This window comes from Homo sapiens, chromosome 8 (assembly GCF_000001405.40).
Source record: "Homo sapiens chromosome 8, GRCh38.p14 Primary Assembly".
Lineage (NCBI taxonomy): Eukaryota > Metazoa > Chordata > Mammalia > Primates > Hominidae > Homo > Homo sapiens.
Genome location: NC_000008.11, coordinates 629,857 through 648,667, shown reverse-complemented (window position 1 = coordinate 648,667; position 18,811 = coordinate 629,857). Strand labels below are relative to the sequence as shown.

General features: G+C 53.0%; 1 protein-coding gene across 17 annotated transcripts in view, besides 2 other annotated features; it reads left to right on the top strand.

The window, feature by feature from the left end:
• Positions 1-18,811, top strand: part of ERICH1 (glutamate rich 1) — a 116,479-nt gene that overhangs the window by 82,557 nt on the left and 15,111 nt on the right. For 2 of the 17 annotated variants that reach the window (XR_007060707.1, XR_007060706.1), the window contains 3 exons: positions 7,834-8,059; positions 11,073-13,000; positions 13,718-16,201. The exons of 7 other annotated variants lie outside the window; for them this stretch is intronic. Coding sequence is in view for 6 of the 10 variants with exons in the window: in XM_006716234.5 (XP_006716297.2) it covers positions 7,834-8,059; positions 10,230-10,461 (458 nt within the window). In the remaining 4 variants the exon portion in view is untranslated. 8 more of the 17 variants (XR_007060708.1, XM_006716234.5, XM_047421393.1 and 5 more) reach the window with 8 other exon arrangements.
• Positions 16,996-18,195: an enhancer, noted in NCBI's record as "P300/CBP strongly-dependent group 1 enhancer chr8:580473-581672 (GRCh37/hg19 assembly coordinates)". NCBI's record gives its function as "activates an origin of replication core promoter dependent on BRD2, BRD4, P300/CBP, MED14 and CDK7 cofactors, with strong dependence on P300/CBP, by STARR-seq in HCT116 cells {active_cell/tissue: HCT116}" and the evidence as "EXISTENCE:reporter gene assay evidence [ECO:0000049][PMID:35650434]".
• Positions 17,663-17,712: an enhancer, noted in NCBI's record as "active region_26943". NCBI's record gives its function as "activates an Ori minimal core promoter by ATAC-STARR-seq in GM12878 lymphoblastoid cells {active_cell/tissue: GM12878}" and the evidence as "EXISTENCE:reporter gene assay evidence [ECO:0000049][PMID:35858748]".

Sequence of the window (18,811 nt, the reverse complement as noted above, 5' to 3'; positions counted from 1 at the left end):
GTGGTGGTGCCAGGCCGGTGCCCACAGGACAGCCCCGTGTTCACACATAGTGCACGCTGGAGTGAAGAGTAGAACCAGCGGGCTCCTTCCTGGCTTCATACTTGGAATGAAAAATCTCTTTGTTCAGATATCTGCTCTACATTCTTTTTTTTTTTTTTTTTTTTTGCTTTTTCTTTCCTCTGGTGACCTCAGCCACAGGGAGCTGTGTGATTTGTGTCCAGTTTGGGACACGACTGTGTCATCAGCCTCACAGGTCCCCAGCACCTCCCCTACTGCGACCTGGAGTCAGCATCCTTGCCGTGGGCCTGATGTGTGGATTTGAGTCGTTTCCATTAAAGTACACAGGATGATTGTGTGGGTCCATCTTGGGCTGCTGTCACGATACCCGAGACTGGTTCATCCGTAAAGAAAAGAAATGTATTTCCCATAGTTCTGGGTGCTGGGAAGCCCACTGTGAAGGGGCTGACATTCTGGGGAGGGGACGCATTCAGGCCACAGCAGCCTTCAGGTGAGCAGTGTCGTGCCTTTTGCTTCCTCTCGCCTCTTCGCAGCCTGTTTCTAAGTTGCGCACACATTTTGCTGTCTGTGCACCTCACTGTGGATTCTAGCTGCTGTCTGACGTGCTGTCGTTTGCGTCAGCCACACTGTACGTTTCCATTGCTGTGGCAGAAACGAGTTGTCCTCATGTCCATTCCGCCCTCCTCCTTTCAGTAACTGATGCAGTGAGTTTTAACTTGCAGGCGCACACAGCCATGTAACTTCAGCCTTGGGGAGAGACCGTCCGGCAGCAATAGATCAAGACTGAAAGACTCAGAGTCCAGCTGGCCCCGTGGGCAGGGCCCCATCTCCCCTGAACCCATCAGCCCACAAATACAGCTCCCCTAATGATGACACTCCCTGATACCACAGAGAAATCCTGGGAACAGCCATAGGATGCCACCTTGGGAGGCTGTGGGGAGTGTTTCTGAGGCTCATCCAGGAGTGGGCTGGCTCAACTCCATCAGGGCTGCCAGACAGCTTCCCGGGTCACCTGTGACCCATTCGTTTGTGTTTTCCCCTCCTAGCAGACCCACTGTACTATCTTCTGCCTCTCCAGTGTTACTCACTGTTTCCTTGTCAAATTTCAAGTTCTTTTAAAATTTAAATTTCTTTTCAAATTTCAAGTCCTTTTTAAATTATCGTACATACAAATGTCTATCCTTGTATAGGTCCAGTGCCAAGGTAAAATTCACTCAAACTCCTGACCCTTGGGCAAGTCCAGTGTCAAGGTATAATTCATTCAAACTCATGCCAGTGCACCATGGCAAACTCTTTGCCTAATTCTGGATTTTATTATGACCACAGACTCAGCATCCACTTGGTAAGGTTCACGCGTCTTGTCGCCAGTGCCACCGTTGTAACAGTTGTGGTTCAGAGACAACCAGTGGCATGACAGGATTCACTTCCTGAGAGGTAGGATCCCTCCCCTTGTGATCCAGAAACTGTTACGATGACCCCACGTGTCTCTGAAAGCAGGGCGTGTAACCGCTGCCAAGGGCGCGCCAAGGGCCTGAGCATGACTCCCGCCACCTGCGTGGACAGGCTACCTCAATATGCTCAGCCTTGGCGTCCACACCTGAACACTGGGATGATGCTCACCCTCACGGGATTTTGAGAAGGATTAAATGAGGACCCTGTATGAATGTGGAGGGCTTGGTAGGCCCTCGGCACAGATTAACTGGCGTGAATTGCTTTGCCACATGACTTCTGGGATGAGCCTGTTTGCCAGCAAGACCAGGTGTGGGCAGCACACTTCTGCACCCCTAGGGCACCTGGTTCACTGGACGCTCACCAGAGGCACCAGCAGGGAATTTGCAGAGGTCACCTATCGCCTGTATTCTTGTTCACAGCAGACACCACCAGGCCCTCCTTTGCCGTCTTCTTCATGACAAGCAAGTGCAGGTGCAGGGGAGGCTGGGGCAAGCCGGGGCTCTGATGCACCTCCAAGTGGATGTGGCCCTCAGAGTGGGGCTGCGGCTTGTGTGGCTCCATCAGCGTCCAGCCTCGCGGAAGGGGCTCGGCCACGGGACCCAAGGACAGGCTGGAGCTGTCGGCATATAGTTCATCTGCCTGGCAACTTCCATCAGTTCCCCCCGATGCCAGTTTTCTTACTTGGGAATAAAATGCAGTTTCCAAAATGGATTTCTGTTCTGCATTTGATTAAACACCAGTTTAGGCAAATTTCCCAATTTTAGTCTTTGTGAGAGCTAAAGATTTTTCTAGGACTTAAATTGTTACTCTTGATAGGATCTTTTTTTTTTTAATCTATGGAGAATCACCCTGAATACATACGGCTGCTGCAGGCAGGGAAAAATATTCCTTTTTCTCCTTTTAATTAGAGCTTTTGAACTGCTCTAATCAGTTTTTCTCAAAGTCACTCTAGTTTGTGGCATTGGGAAGCCAGTTTGAGTAAGCATGGTCTTCTGGTTGAGTCTCATAATATTTAGTTCATGGAGACGTCATTAAGACCCTGCTGAGGAGCAAGTGAGTTTTGATAACTTTTGATGATAGCCGCCATCTTGCAAGGCCAATGCCAAACCTTCAGAGAAAGAATTATAACAGCTCCTGCTTTAATTAAACAATCCATGTTTCTCCACTGCATTTCATCCTGGAGTAACTGCGTGTTGGAGACAAACGAGAGCAGCCAGTGCCAAAAACATGCATCTCAGTGCATCTCACGGATGTACAGACACGGCACTCAACATGCAGAAATGCCTGATCATCCAGTTAGCGCCAAGTTCCATTTCAGAACAGAAGGAGCCAGATGTGAAGTGGACAGCAGGGCTAGAGCTGTGGTGAAAGGTACCAGGAGCTGGAAGTCCTAGAAATTCAGATTTCTGGGCTGGGCACCGTGGCTCACGCCTGTAATCCCAGCACTTTGGGAGGCTGAGGTGGGGGGACTGCTTCCAGGAGTTTGAGACCAGCCTGGGCAGCAAAGCAAAATTACAGAAATACAAATTCTGCCAACTCCCAAGCCTCCACGGTCGCCTCCCTGATACCACGGAGGCCTTCCTGACAGCATGGTCAGCCACACCCTGGAAGTGGGTCAGGGCTGGGGGAACAATGGGAGGATGATTGCAGGTCTGTTGTAGAATTCCTTCAGAAGAAAGATGAGGTTTGGGGGGGACAGTAAGGAAAACACGACTGTCTGCCATAAAGTTCAAGAGATTTACCTTTTCAAGCACAGTATCAGGCATGCGGTGTTTTCTAAATAATCAAAGTATCTTCTACATTAAAAATACCAAAATAAACCCTGCTTGTATCATTTCGGGGGAAAGTTAGATTGAAAGTTTTTTCAACGACAGGAAATCATTGCGGGGCAAAGTCCACAAGGCCCAGGCGCAGGCCTCATGTTTCTGGGGGGGACTGGGTCTCCTTGCAGGTGCGTCCCAAAGCAAGGAAAGCGCGTCTGCGGTCACAGCTCAACGCGGACTCCAGTGCCAGCCGAGGGAAAGGGGTCTTCCCTGCAGAGAGCCGCACCCACCTCCCCCTCAACCGGGGCCAGCGAAACTCAGGTTCACTGCTCTGTGTGGAATTTGCCTCTGAAATCCCCTCACCCTGACTCAGGCCTTTGATAAAAATTTCATTTTTCAGAAAGCAAAGAGGAGAGATTACAGCAGTGACCAGCCCGTGGGAGGAGAAGGATCTCATTCCTTCTGGTCCTGGGCCCCGTAGCTCCTGCCTCTGAGAGAACAGACAGTGTGTTCGGGTCCCAGCCTCCCGCAAGTGCTCAGCATCTGTTGGGCTTGCTGGGAAGTGGGTGCAGGGCTGAGCCCAAAACACACATGTAGGCGTTGCTGGTAAACCTTGTCCCACTCACCCCAGGTCCACTTAGGAGCCCCAAGACCTGCTGCAGGGAGAGAAGTGGTTGGATAGGTTGGTGACACGTCTGTCATAGAACGGGTCAGGCTGGATGTTTTCCTCCTAAGACCAACACTGGGGCAGGGAGGGAGAGACGCAGCTGCGCCCTGAACACCACTCACGCAGCTCCTGGAAGGCGCTGGGGTCCTGTTAACTTGCTACAGGTGATTCTCTACGTCTATAGCTTGAGGTTAGCCTTGTATCACATTACGTTCTCATTAGAAACAAAATGAAAATGAAATATTTAAACCATGTACCAGAACAGAATTAGGCCTGGAAAGCAGCAGTCTTAGCTGACAAATGGGTTGTGCTATTTGACTCTCACGGGTAAGTCTCCTCTTTCATAGTAAAATCTCACTAAAGAATCTTCCTTGACTTTGACAATTTTTCAGCGTCACAAGCAAGAAACCACCACCTGTGGGCCCCAGTGAGAGACTGAACTTACAAAGAGACGATGACCACAGCATATGGAAAGGAAGAAGGAGCCACCCTCTGCAGGAGCCCTGAAGCCCGAAGAGCAGGAGGCCAGGCACTCGCCTTAGGACGGGGCCAGGAGGCCAGGCGCTTGCCTTAGGATGGGGCCAGGAGGCCAGGCACTTGCCTTAGGACGGGGCCAGGAGGCCACACAGTGATCCCTGTAGCAGTGGCCCCATGCGGCCAAGACTTAAGATAGCAGACACCTTCCCCGATTTGTGTCTCTACTTAAAATGTAAGATCAGCTGGAGAAAGCCCAGTGTGCGCCCCCACCAAGCCCACAGGACTCCTGCTCCTGCAGAGCCGCCCCCGCCCCGTCAGGCCCACCGTGCTGGTGCTCAGGGGGCTGCATCCTGCTGGGAGCACGATTCCGGGTGTTTCTCCAGGCGCTGAGTCCGTGCCTCCTTTTTCGGTCACACATCTTATCATTTGAGTTTAGCATCTACTTATAAACATCATTTTCAAATCTGAATCCTGCTTCCTCACTACAATAAAAAGGAGAGACAAAAGGAAGTTGCGCCTACAACCTTCCAGAAGCCCTGAGGAGCCGCCCCATGCCTGACGCCACATCCCACAAGCTCCCGAAGTCGCGGATGGCTCAGTGACATTCCAGATGCTGTCCCATCGCTCAGAGTCCCGAGACACAGACATGAACACCAAGTCCATCCTTTGAGGAAGGCAGACTTGGCGGGAATGTGGTTTTCTTCAAAGGTGAGGGGGTAGGGGGAGCTGCCAGGGCCCAGCCGGCAGGGGCAGGAGGGGCGGGGCTTCGGCCCAGGGCCCTGCACGGGGGTGACCATCAGTGCCCCCCATCACCGTGACAGTCCTATCCCCAGTCTGCAAAATGCCCCCTGGATGGAGCATCCCATGAGAGCCGGGCCATGGAGAGGCTGGAATGTGCCAGACTCTGAGGCACCCAGGGGGTCAGCCTTTCCCTCTGGTTGGTCCCCCTGTGCCACACCGCAGCCTGCGCCTGGCCAGCTTCCCGTCCCTGCGAGCACAGCCTGCGCCTGGCCAGCTTCCCGTCCCTGCTGCGACCCCATTACTAGGTCATCGTCTCATGCCAGAGAACTCGCAGGAATCGCATGCAATGTTTAACGAGAGGCAGAATGTGGGCACCAGGTGTGAAGCAGTCCCCGGCTGTGGACGGGAGACTCCAGGCTGCGCCAGGCAGGGCGCCTTCCCCTGGACCTTGAAGGGCACCCGATGTCCTGGGGCCGTGAGGGGCGGGGTGCTTATCCATGTGACAGGACTCTTCCAGTAGCAACAGGGAGGGCCCAGCAAAACCCGCAGTTTGTTTCGGGCCACGTTCCAACAAGTGACTCGGCGGCGTCTCCCACCTGCACACTCAGTCAGGAGGCTGCAGTCTCCCGTCCAGCCCCACAGCCTGAGGGATTCCTGTTGGTTACCCAGAACTGCCTGCCACAGGTGCCAGGGCAAGAGATGTCACTCAATTTTCCAGCCCCCAGTCCTGTAGACATCCTGGGTGTGCGGCACACATCGGCTCACTCACACTGACCCTCTGAGCCGGTGAGAACTCCACAAGAAGAGGGCCAGCGCCTCACAAGATCAAGGCGGAACAACGCGTTTGTGGGATGATGAAGACCTCATAACAGACGTGCCAGTGGGTTGATTACTGTGAAATTCTCAACTGTGGTTTCTGTAACTTAAAAAAAAAAATTTCCACTTTGGGAGGCCGAGGCGGGCAGATCACGAGGTCAGAAGATCGAGACCATCCTGGCTAACACAGTGAAACCCCGTCTCTACTAAAAATACAAAAAATTAGCCGGGCGTGGTGGCTGGTGCCTGTAGTCCCAGCTATCTGGGAGGCTGAGGCAGGAGAATGGCGTGAACCCAGGAGGAGGAGCTTGCAGTGAGCCGAGATCGCACCACTGCACTCCAGCCTGGGCGACAGAGCGAGACTCTGTCTCAAAAAAAAAAAAAAAAAAAAAAAAAAGTCCAGACCATGATATTCTTTTTAGGGATGTTCTTTGCAGCAGTTCCCCTGCTAAAATGAATGAGAGCAAAGCAAATTGCAGTTAGCAGTGTGCATTCCCGACCTGTGGGCCCTGATGGACACCAGTGCCTCTGCCACCTGGGCCAGTCGCGTTAAGTGCTGGGATGGTGGGCCAGTGTCCAAGCAGAGCTTGTGAAGAATCTGCACACGCCCCTTTTTGCATGTGCTCACCCAAAGTGAAATCATCTCTGGGCCTTCCCTAAGATCTCCTTGAGTCAGGAACCTGCAAGGGCACAGGCCGCCTGGCAGGCCATTTTCATACATGGTCTCCCACTGTTCTGAGCAGGTGGCAGCTGCGAATCTATTCTTTAACAATTTAATAGATGCCTCCTCGGAAAAAGCTATTGACCTGAGACCAGTGGAGACTGGAGGACGAGATGGGGTCAGAAGAAAGGACTGCATACGGCCAGAGGCACCGTGGGGTTTTGGCCAGCACAGAGCCGGGGCGTTGATTCTGATGAGGTCTGGGCAGGAACCAAAGAGAGCTTCATAGACAAGGCGGCATCTGAGATGAGCCTGGAAAACGCAGACAGGAGAGGAATCGGCGGGGAGGGGGAGGGGTCCTCCGGGAGGAGCTCCGCTGCCAGCGTACCCAGGCGTGACGGCCGCTGCGTTCTCCACTGATTAGATCACGCTCAGACACACTACCTCCTCCCAGTACAATTAATCAAGAAATATTAAGCTATAATTTGAATAATCTGTGTGAAAAGGTCTTTCGATGTGGAATGAGAGACACCTTTGAGGAAATACATTACGATACAGGCTATTAACCTTTACCAAGCTAATTAAAGCCAGCCAGGGTTAAAGCTGTCAATGTAACTTTGCATAAATTTCCTCAAGATTTCTACTTAAGGGGACTTGGGGATTTCTTTTTCTCTTTTAATTTTTAATTTTGAAAATGAGGCCCTGTAAACACTGCTTATATTTGGCCACTAAGTGGCCTCCTAAATGGCTGATTTCTTTTTAAAGTATGAAGATTGTTTGCTGTGGCATTATTAATTACACACAGATTTGTACCACTTTCCTCCACTAGAATTAAGGAAATTTGTAAAACCAACTCGTGGTCAGACTCCAGCAAATGACCCATCGTTTTCCACCAGTGTCTCTGTTTCTATGTAAAATTATAGATTAAACGCCAAGTCCTCTGCCTCCACCTGTCCAGGGTAAGTAACCACCTCCAGAAGTGAGAAGCTGGGAGTGGCTCTGAGAGGGGCTGACTCAAGTATTCTCCTAATAAATAGGGGCGGGCGAAGCATCAGGGCGAATCCCACGTGAGGCAGAAAAGTGAGCTGAACTATCCTGGAGTGTTTTGTTGCATTCCATATCTCCCTCAAAACTCACTGACTCTGGAAGCAGTGGTTTTGAAGTCTTAATTGAAACAAAGTTGAGATTTTTAAGAAAATTAACAATTTCTAATATTTTCAATTGTCTGGTGTTTCCAGCTTTTATTGGCTCTTGTCGAAATCAAATTGGAAGATCTTCAGTCCCAGCTGCACCCAACGTGGAAAAGTATTCCAGGTCCATCCCCAAGGAACCAACACCGATGACATGGACTCAGGAATCTTATAACCTACGTGGACTCTTTCCATCCGTACATTGTCGTGCACATGCCACTCATCACCTGGCGTGCCCAGATCCTCGCAGGGCAACACCCTGTGATAATTCCAGGTGATTCTCTACATCTGCAGCTTGAGGTTAGCCTCATATCACATTACATTCTCACTAGAAACAAAACAAAAATGAAATACTTAAAACATCTACCAGAACAGAATTAGGACTGGAAAGCAGCGGTCTTAGCTGACAAACAAGTTGTGCCATCTGAGACTCATGGGAGTAAATCTCCTCTTTCATAGTAAAATCTCATTACAGAATGTTCCTTGACTTTGGCAATTTTTCTGGGTCACAAGCAAGAAAAAAACATAAGCAGGCGGAGAGAGCTCGCCCTGCCACCTGGGGCTTGTGTGTCAGCAGCTCCAGAGAGGAATTGGGATGTGAAAAGTTCAGCCAAAATAGAAAGAATTAACATTTTTGCTATAAAAAAGGAGCATCTGCTGCCTTTTCATGAGGACCTTCTCCATAGGGGTCCTTTGATTAGGCGGCATTCCACTCAGTTTCTCGGTTATCTCCCAGTTCTGCCACTGACTGCTTCCATGTCTCAGGCAAGTATTTCAGCCCCCTGAGTTTCTTCCTCTGTGAAGTGGGGATGACAGCTGTGTGGTACAAAATGAGCCACTCCCCATCAGGGCTTGGGACATGTCACGGGCACACACAGGGCATGTGTGCGGCAGCTTTTAGGGAGCATTATTCTTCTTTGTCTCTTGAGAATCTTACCTGGAAACACAAGCTCAGGAAATAAGAAACTTAATTAAGGCCAGGAGGCTAGTGAACAACAGAGCTGGTTCTGAAAAACCGGCTGCCTCTGAATCCAGGGTGCTTGGTGTGTCTGCTCACTGGATTCGTGGCTGCCTGTGAATCCAGGGTGCTCGGTCATGTGTGCTAACTGGATTGGTGGCTGCCTCTGAATCCAGGGTGCTTGGTTGTGTCTGCTAACTGGATTCGTGGCTGGCTGTGAATCCAGGGTGCTTGGTCGTGTCTGCTAACTGGATTGGTGGCTGCCTGTGAATCCAGGGTGCTTGGTCGTGTCTGCTAACTGGATTGGTGGCTGCCTCTGAATCCAGGGTGCTTGGTCGTGTCTGCTAACTGGGTTGGCGGCTGCTTCTGAATCCAGGGTTCTCGGTCGTGTCTGCTAACTGGATTGGTGGCTGATGACAGACCGGCTCTTTGATATTTTGTGGTTTGCCCAGAGTGACAGCCCAGAGGCTCAGAATTCTTAGTTCAAAGTGCTTTTCAAATCATCTCCTCATTTATTTCTCTATCACTTCTTCTAGGAAGATATTTCATCCTGATGGTATACATTGATATGTATACCTTGATATGCAGCCTGGGAAGAATAAGCAGCATGACCTGGGGTCACAGATGCTCTGCGATGGGATGAGTGGGAACACAGCTGACCCTGGGGTCACAAGGACCTCAGTGATGGGATGAGTGGGAACACAGCCTGCACTTCAGACCCAGATCCAAGTGTCTTTATCTGAGTAGAAAAAGCAGAATCCAAGACCCGGGCTTTGGGCATTTCCAGCTTCCCCAGATGGGGAAAAGCCAGTGCCAGGTGGCCACGCTGGGGACATTCATGACCTCAGCAGCATGGACCGTGGTCTTCAGTGAGGCCTGCTTGAGAGACGGCTTCCGTTGCAGTGTTGTGGGCAGGTGGGGCGGTGGTGACTGGTAGGGGGGCAGTTGTGAAATGTACCTGGAAAGATAGGCGTTTATGGGTTCAAAACTGTCTTGTCAGGAGGGAACCAAGTGTGGGTCAGAACAAGGCCACGGAGGCAGCGTCCACTGAGCAGCGATTGCGCACAAGGGCAGCGGGTGACTGCCGTGGCCTTGCTCTCGATGACGACAGGCCGGGGTCAAAATGAGTCTTCTGGGTCAATGCTGACGCAACGAAAGGGTGGAATGGCTTCAGGGATAACCACGTTCAGGTGGGTTAGACACACCTCCTGTGGGAGGAGTGATTGCAATTAGCTATCATAAGGCAGGAGACACAACAGCAACTTAAATTATCCACAAGCAGAATCATGAGCTGTTTGCAAAGGGAGTTTCCATCGCAAGACAGTTTCACTGTATTTAAGCGAGATCCTGCCCTCGTACACGATCACAGCTCAGTGGACGCCACCTCCGTGGCCTTGTTCTGACCCACACTCAGTTCCCTCCTGACAAGACAGTTTTGAACCCACGAACCTTCCCAGGTGCATTTCATCAACTGCCCTCCTTTCAGGCACGACCGGCCCACCTGCCCACCGCACTGTAACGGAAGCTGTATCTCAAGCAGGCCTCCTCTCCGAAGAACATGGCCCGTGCTGGCTGAGGGTCTGAACGTGCCCAAGCGTGGCTGTCTGGTGCTGAGCTTCCCATCGAGCCCCAGGAATGTTGGAACTAGCCCAAAGCCCTGTAAGCAAGGTCTTAGGACACTGGGAGGCTCTGAAATCACAGATGTAAGTAAAAGATAAGAAACGCCAAGGCAAGGGCCAGGCGCCCCACACGTGGTAGGAGCTTCTGCAGGATGCTGGGCCCTTCCTCAGCAGGTGCTTTGCCTGGGTTGTGCTCCCGCAGCCTGACTGCTGCCCCAGGTCACCGATGTAAATGACTCAGGACCTCCTAGAGAACAGGCTTCTGTGTAAAGTCATTATTTTGCTTCCTCACCAAATCCTGCCCCTGCAAAGCAGTCCACAGAACTTAGTGGCTTGTTAAAGGTGCATCTGTTGAATCAAAGTCCTCAGCAGAAAGCCTGGCCCCTGCATTTTGTTCGGCTGCCTGCAGTGGCCAGAGCAGGCTACATGTTGAGAGCAGGACCCTGGCTGCTGTGCTCTCGCACGGCTGGTGACTACAGCGGGGTCTGGACGTCAGGCAAGCACTGTTTGACTCCCGGCTGCTCCACTCCCCAACTGAGCAGCCGTGGCTTCTGTGGTAGGAACTGCCAGATGCCCCCCAGCTTTCCTCCTGCTCCCAGGCACACGGTGGGGCTGTGTTGCCCTACCCCACTAGGTTCTGTGGCCCTGTGAGGTCATCCTCACAGCTGAGCACCCCACACAGCTTCCCTGCCCTCTTCTTTTGAATTCAGCATCTGCAGTGGCCATGAGCAGAGCCAGACAGCAGGAGCTGGGCCCTGGACGACTCCACGGGAGAAACAGCCACAACAGGCATGTGGGGCTCTGATTGTAGGCGAGCCGGCTCTGCAGGGATACAGAAATCCACCCCAGGAGTGGCGAGCTGCCCTAGCAAAACCCCAAGCACGTGGTGAGGATGGAATGCTGGGCAGCATGAGAGGAGACACATGGGGCTAGAGGAACGTGTAGCCCAGGAGCCGCAGAATCAGGCACAGCTGTGGCTTTTACCCACTCAGGCCACTGAGGTCCCAGGGTGGCAGCTCTGGGAAGCAGCTAGGAATGCAGGATGCCGGGGACGAGGCTGTTGGTTGCAGAACCCCACCGGGTGTTTCACAGAATGAGTGTGGCCAGATCCAGCCTGTTTCCAGCAGGGCTGACACAACTACAGCCCCGATGGGCCCAGAGAAGCCACAGTGGCTGCAGAGAGAAGAGAGAAGCAGAAACGTGTCGTTAGCCTTCAGGCAACAGGAAGCAGCCCTGGTGTGGTCACTGCACAAGGAACAGGCTTGGTGAGCTGGTTTGGACGCCTTCGGTGCGTTTGCAATCTGGCTTAAAGTCCTGAACCAACCCTCCGACCCTGCAGAAAGTGGACTGTGCAGGCTGGGAAATGCTGAGAAGGAAGTCCTGAACCAACCCTCCGACCCTGCAGAAAGTGGGCTGTGCAGGCTGGGAAATGCTCAGAAGGTGACTCCCAACACGTGGCCTGGAAGTCATGGAGGATTCTGGACGGGAGGGCAGAGCCCAGAGCATCCCTCCTGGCCCCTCAGGGGAGCACGTCTGGGGCCTCATCAGGGAGCTGCCTGCCGAGGCCAGGTCTGCACCGTTCCTCCCCAGAGGTCACAGTGTCGGAGGCTGCACAGCCACTGCAGCAGCGACCCTTTATTTGGACTGCGCTTTTGTTGTAGGTGTCCTGTCTGCTGTTGTGCATTTGGTGGGACAGTGCTGAGGGTTTGGTGGACAGGGCTGAGGGTAAGTGGAGGGCTTGTGCTCAGTGCACAGGCCTCCGTCCGTGAGGAGACTCTGTTGGGCCCACGTGGGGCAGAACCCAGGCAGATGCCCCGATTCTGAGCTAAAGTCGGGAGAGGAAGGCACTCTGGGCCGTCTCCTTTGGGAACAGCTAAGAGTATTTTCTATGAGGGAGGAACGATGAAAAGGCATCCCGTGACCAGAAGGACAGTCTCTAGCAGAAACCATCAATGATTTCCACACATCCGAGGCCTTGGCTCCCTGGTTGTGGCTGCACCTAGTTCCCAGTTGACGTGCAACCCCACGTGGCCACGCAGCTGAGCTTCAGGGAGGCTGTGAACGCCCAGCTCGGCTCAGGGCCATGGAGGTGGTTGGGGCGCAGGGATTCAGCTCGGCCCAGGGCAGTGGAGGTGGCCGGGGCGCAGGGATTCAGCCGCCTTAGAGCGCGCCAGACATTAGCCCCAGGCTGAGTGTTTTCCACAGAGAATGCTATTAACAGGATCCCAGCTTTTGCCTCTCTGAGAGATGGCATGAAGGAGCCCACAGCCTCGTTGCACCAGGTGGCCCTGGCAAGGTGCAGCTTTGGGCTGTTTCTGCCGAGGCGGAGGCCTTCTCGCCCTGGTTGAACGGCTCGCAGGATGAGGAATCACCGCACCTGCCGCGTAAGAGCCGCTTGCAAGTTAAATGGGGTGAACCTTTGAAGGACCTGCTGCGTTTTGGATCCAGAGTTGGTTGAACACAAACTTTGGTGAGCCAACCGTCCCTGCTGTGGGGTGCAGCACGCATGTGGACCACAGACTCACGGACACACACACACACGCTGGGGGAGCGTCGGCCCCACTCGATGGTGACAAGTGTGCTCACACCCCGTTGCTAGAGCCTCCAGGGACCCTGCTTGGGAAGCCAGTCATGACAGGTGAGCGTGAGGGTGCAGGGACGGGTTGCTGGGAGTCCCTGGACACATCCCGCAGGGTCCTCTGGCAGGTCGGGGCCGGGCCGGCTGGCCACTACGTCCAGGTCGACCACAGCTGTGCCGCCTGCGGGCTGTGATCTGGGCTCCCAAGACCACCCATGTATGAGGGAGGACAGGTGGGGACTGGGTGGGGCGTTGGTGCAGGTGAACGCCCTAGACAGCCCCTCTCACAGCCAGCCTTAGCTGTCACTATTGTTAGTGGTGATGAGCCCTGCGGGGACTTTGGAGGGAAGCTCAGGCTGGTCCCAACGGCCCGGGCTTGGCGTTTATCCGTTATACCCGGATAAACCCGTGTGGGGGGCTCCATCACAGACTTAGACGCCTGTTTTCTCTATGGACCTGACGCAACTCAAGGGAAACTCATAAGCTCGGATGTGTATTTCCTGGCTCTTTCCTGAGGCTGAGGGGCCTGTCCTCGGGGGGTTTCCTGAACAGAGGTCACCATGAAATGGTCACAGGGAGAGGCAGATGCGGCCACGCCCACTCCTGGTGAGGTGCTTTTTTTTTTTAGCTGAGTGGCTCCGGCAACCCCTTGAGTCCACGTCCCTGAGTGTCCAAAGCCTGGGACACCCCCAGGTGCGGTCTGAAGCCACGGGTGGCCAGGCTGCAGGAGGGAACTCCGACGGCCACCGTGATCCCTTTCCCTCCTTCCTTCCCCAGAGGCACCAAGAGGGCAGCCACAGCCCCAGCTCCCAAGGTCCTTGCGGGACGCTGCCCTGTTACCTGATTCCTGGAAGGAGAGAGGCTATAGAGCTGCAAAACTCTTAAGAGACAAAAAAGAACCTTTCCCTGATTTTCTGATGCTTGACCTGGGCTGCTCAGCGGGGTTTGGAAGTGCAGAGGCTTCCGGTCGCCAAGGTCATCCCGCGTGGGACTCAGTGTCACAGCGGCCCCTCTCACACCCGGGACCAGCTGAGTGGGTGCCCACGGCAGCCCCCCACCCATCGTGGGGGCTGGTCCGGCTGCTCCGCCAGCTGTCCTTCTGCGCACACAGTGGGCACCTACTGCACGCATGGCACTGTGCTTAGAGCTGGAGTGAGCCGCAAGCAAACCTGCTGTTGAAGGTGCCCGCCCGACGGGGCCGCCCTGAGCATGGGTGTGCAGACGTATCCTCGAGACCCTGTTCAGTGTTTTGGGTGTACGCCCAGGAGACGAATTGCTGGATGCTGTGGCAATTCTATGTTTACTTGTTTGAGGAGCTTCCATGGTAGCTGCACCATTTCACATTCCCGCCAACAGTGCACGAGGGTTCCAAGCGCTCCACGACGCTCGCTCGTTGCCTTTGTGTTTTGTTTCTATAGCAGCCATCCCAACGGGTGAGGTGAGCACCGCTTCGTGGATTTATCAGCTACTTGTGTGTCTTCTTTGGATAAATGTTGATTCAAGTCCTTTGGCCATTTTTGAATCAGGGTTTTTTTTGTTTGTTTTTTTTTTTTTTTTTTGAGTTTTAGGAGTTCTCTATAGATTCTGGTTTTTAACCCCTTACTAGATGCATGATTTGTAAATATTTTCCCCATTGTGTGCTCTGCCGTTTTACTCTTAATGTCATTTGATGGACGAAATGTTTTTGTTTCCACGCAGTCCCGCTGTCTGCTTTTTCTGTTGTCGCCTGGGCCTTTGGTGTCACCTTCAAGAAGTCACTGCCAAATCCAACATCGTGGCAGTTTTCCCTGTGTTTCCTTATGAGAGGTTTAGGTCTCACATTTAGGTCTTTGATGTACTTTGCACTGATTTTTGTCAGCTGTAAAGTAGGGGCCAATTTCATTCCTTTGCGTGTGGATGTCCTGTTTCCCAGCACCATCGGTGGAAGCGGCTGTCTTTTCCCATTGAGGAGTCCTGCCATCCTGGCACCTGTGCCAAAGCCCATTCGACCTTGAGTTTGAGGGTTTATTTCTGGGTCCTCGCCTCTGTTCCCTTGGTCCATACACCACCTTTATATCAGGACGGTGATGCTTTCATTCCTGTGGCTTGGCAGTAAAATTTTGAATCAGGAAATGTGAGTCTCCAGCTTCGTTCTTTTTAGGATTGTTTTGGGTAATCAGGAACCCTTGAGATTCCATGTGAATTTAGGGTGGGTTTTTCTGTTTCTCTGAGAAATATCCTTGAGATTCTCCCAGGAAGATATATTGTTTTGAGGGCTTTAAAACTCCCTATAAATATTGCTGTACTTTGGGGGCCCTTTTCTTCCCACACTGTGTTTTTGAGATTTACCCATGCTGTTGTGAGTACCTCGCTGAATGCAGCACATACTGCATCATACAAGTGCATCCTGATCCATTTCCCCTGACGGACGTGTTCATTTTTTGTTATGGCAATGCTGCAATACACGTTTTTAGCTGTGCCTCTTTGTGCTTGAATGTGAGGGGTTTTCTAAGGTGTGAACCTCAGAACAGAGTCGCCAGGCCATAGGGTGTGCACAGCCTCCGTCTGTCCTGGGCGGCCCCACGCGGGCTCCACACTGGTTTCCGTCTGTCCTGGGCAGCACCACGGTGGCTCCACACTGGTTTCCACACTGGTTTCCGTCTGTCCTGGGCGGCCCCGCGCGGGCCCCACACTGGTTGTGCGTTTCTCAGGCCACCAGCAGCGTCCAAGAGCTCTGGCCGATCTGCCTCCCTCCCTGCGTCTCGGCATCTTTGTCTGGCACTGCTGATGGTTTTGCCTAAACGGCTCTTTGCTGTGGGGCATCCTGTGCACCGTGGGACGTCTTGTGCACTGTGGGGTGTTGAGCCGCATCCGTGGTCTCCACCCACAGATGACAACGACACCCCCAGCTATGAAACCAGAAATGACTCCACACATTGCCAAATGTCCCCCAGGGCAAAGTCACCCACTTGGGCGTTATGTTACCCACTGATGATCTGAATTTTTGTCCATTTCACCTGTCTGAGTTTGTGTGTCTCTGAGCACTGGTGGGACTGAGCGTGTCCGTGGCTTGTGGCCACTCCTGCTTCCTGTTTGTGAATTTTATGTTCATAACGTCTGCCCCTTTCTTTGGGTTTTTCACTTTATTCTTATTATTTTGTAAATTCCTTAAGTATTCTGGATACTTACCTTTTGTTATTCTATTCTAGTAGTCACTGTCCCCAAAACAATGTTCATAAATTTGTTCTTATAAAGATGAGAAATAAAAAACATTGAATTTTAGAGCTGCATACATTTTTTTAAAACATGGGCTTTAAGAACCTTTGGTCTATTTGATCTTTCACTTTCTTTTCATCTGAAATAAGAAAAGATCATTTTTAAACATTTCTTGCAGCCTTGGCATTCATTATTATTTTTTTTTTACTGCTAATTAGAAATTGTCAGCAAGACTGGATGAAAGCAACAATAGTTTTGAGAAAAACTATCTCAAAAGCAGATGTTATCAAGATAAACACGACACACAATAGAAAAATGAGACCCCGGGACAAATCACTACAACATCAAAATTCAAGACTGAGGAAAAGTCACAGCCTCCCTTATTCATTTATCCCACAAAGTTTTCCTCTCCTGAGCACAAAGGTTTCAGTGGGACTCGCAGCCCTGCCAGTCGGAGAGTAGAGCCTGTGTCCTGGGGAAGCAGAGACGCAGCTCGAGTCTATTCCGGCTGTGGTGCTTTGGGAGTTCTAAGCAGCATAGGATGTCTGACCCAGCCCTGGAAGGACAGGAAGCACCTTTGGGAAAAGAGGAGGGTTTGCGTTCCAGAGCGGAGAATGGGCTTTAAATCTTCCTCTAGAAACAAGTACAGCATTGACTGAGCAAAGGCCTGGGGCGGGGGTCGGGGGGCGGCACCTGCAAACCTTCACATCACCCCACCAGGTCATCCTAGAAAATTAGTCAGTGCCTGTAAACATGGCAGTTCTCGGGAAGCTGAGAACGTTCCAGAGACGATGGTGTGGACGGCTGCACCAGTGTGAAGCGCTCAGTGCCGCTGAACAGCACACTGAAAAAGGGCTCTGGTGGTAAATTTTATGTTGTGTATATTTTACCACGATGTAAACAAACAAACAAAAAACTCTCGGCATTGCCCCCACTCCCTGGCAGTGTCTATTGTGGGAGGAGAGACCGAAATTCTCAGGACACACCCAGGCCTCAAGACTTCTCGCCCAATCCGTCACCACTTCCTGGCGCAGACATCGGACTGTTAAGGCCCCTCCACTTCCCGCTCAGGTTACAGACCCCAGGGCACATCCCCCCATCCTCACCCGCCTGCATGACCAGGCTGCCCCCTGCCCCGCACACCTCTCTCTGAGTAGCCTCCTGTCTTCCCTCTGGCAGCTGAGTCAGCTTCACCACCTCACTGGGTCTGGAACAGCCAACTCCTGACACTTTCACACTCACAGAGGTGGAGCAGGGGCACGGGGGCTGGGCACCACCAGTGTGTGGGCAGCACCCAGGCATTAAACACAGCAGAGGATGGCGCAGGCACCCCTGTTCTCCTCCCAGAGCCAAGCTTCAGGCCATGTCCAGCGGGGGAGGCTGTGAGTCACCTCTGCCTCATGTGGGTGATCATAGGAGGGTGTGAGTCAGCTCTGTCCACATGGTTGCTCATGGGAGGGTATGAGTCAGCTCTGTCAATGTGGGTGGTGGGTGGTCACGGGAGGGTGTGAGTCAGCTCTGTCCACGTGGTTGCTCATAGGAGGTTGTGAGTCAGCTCTGTCCATGTGGGGTGCTCACAGGAGGGTGTGTGTCAGCTCTGTCTGTGTGGGTGGTCACGGGAGGGTGTGAGTCAGCTCTGTCTGTGGGTGGTCACAGGAGGGTGTGAGTCAGCTCTGTCTGAGTGGGTGGTCACGGGAGGGTGTGTGTCAGCTCTGTCTGTGTGGGTGGTCACGGGAGGGTGTGTGTCAGCTCTGTCCGTGTGGGTGCTCACGGGAGGGTGTGAGTCAGCTCTGTCTGTGTGGGTGGTCACAGGAGGGTGTGTGTCAGCTCTGTCCGTGTGGGTGCTCACGGGAGGGTGTGAGTCAGCTCTGTCTGTGTGGGTGGTCACAGGAGGGTGTGTGTCAGCTCTGTCTGTGTGGGTGCTCACGGGAGGGTGTGAGTCAGCTCTGTCTGTGTGGGTGGTCACAGAAGGGTGTGTGTCAGCTCTGTGTGGGTGCTCACGGGAGGGTGTGAGTCAGCTCTGTCTGTGTGGGTGGTCACAGGAGGGTGTGTGTCAGCTCTGTCTGTCTGGGTGCTCACGGGAGGGTGTGAGTCATCTCTGTCTGTGTGGGTGGTCACAGGAGGGTGTGAGTCAGCTCTGTCTGTGTGGGTGGTCACAGGAGGGTGTGAGTCAGCTCTGTCCATGTGGGTGCTCACGGGAGGTTGTGAGTCAGCTCTGTCTGTGTGGGTGGTCACAGGAGGGTGTGAGTCACCTCTGCCTGTGGGTGGTCACGGGAGGGTGTGAGTCAGCTCTGTCTGTGTGGGTGGTCACAGGAGGGTGTGAGTCAGCTCTGGGTGGTCACGGGAGGGTGTGAGTCAGCTCTGTCTGTGTGGGTGGTCACGGGAGGGTGTGAGTCAGCTCTGTCTGTGTGGGTGCTCACGGGAGGGTGTGAGTCAGCTCTGTCTGTGTGGGTGCTCACAGGAGGGTGTGAGTCAGCTCTGTCTGTGTGGGTGGTCACGGGAGGGTGTGAGTCAGCTTTGTCTGTGTGGGTGCTCACAGGAGGGTGTGAGTCAGTTCTGTGTGGGTGGTCACAGGAGGGTGTGAGTCAGCTCTGTGTGGGTGGTCACGGGAGGGTGTGAGTCAGCTCTGTCTGTGTGGGTGCTCACAGGAGGGTGTGAGTCAGCTCTGTCTGTGTG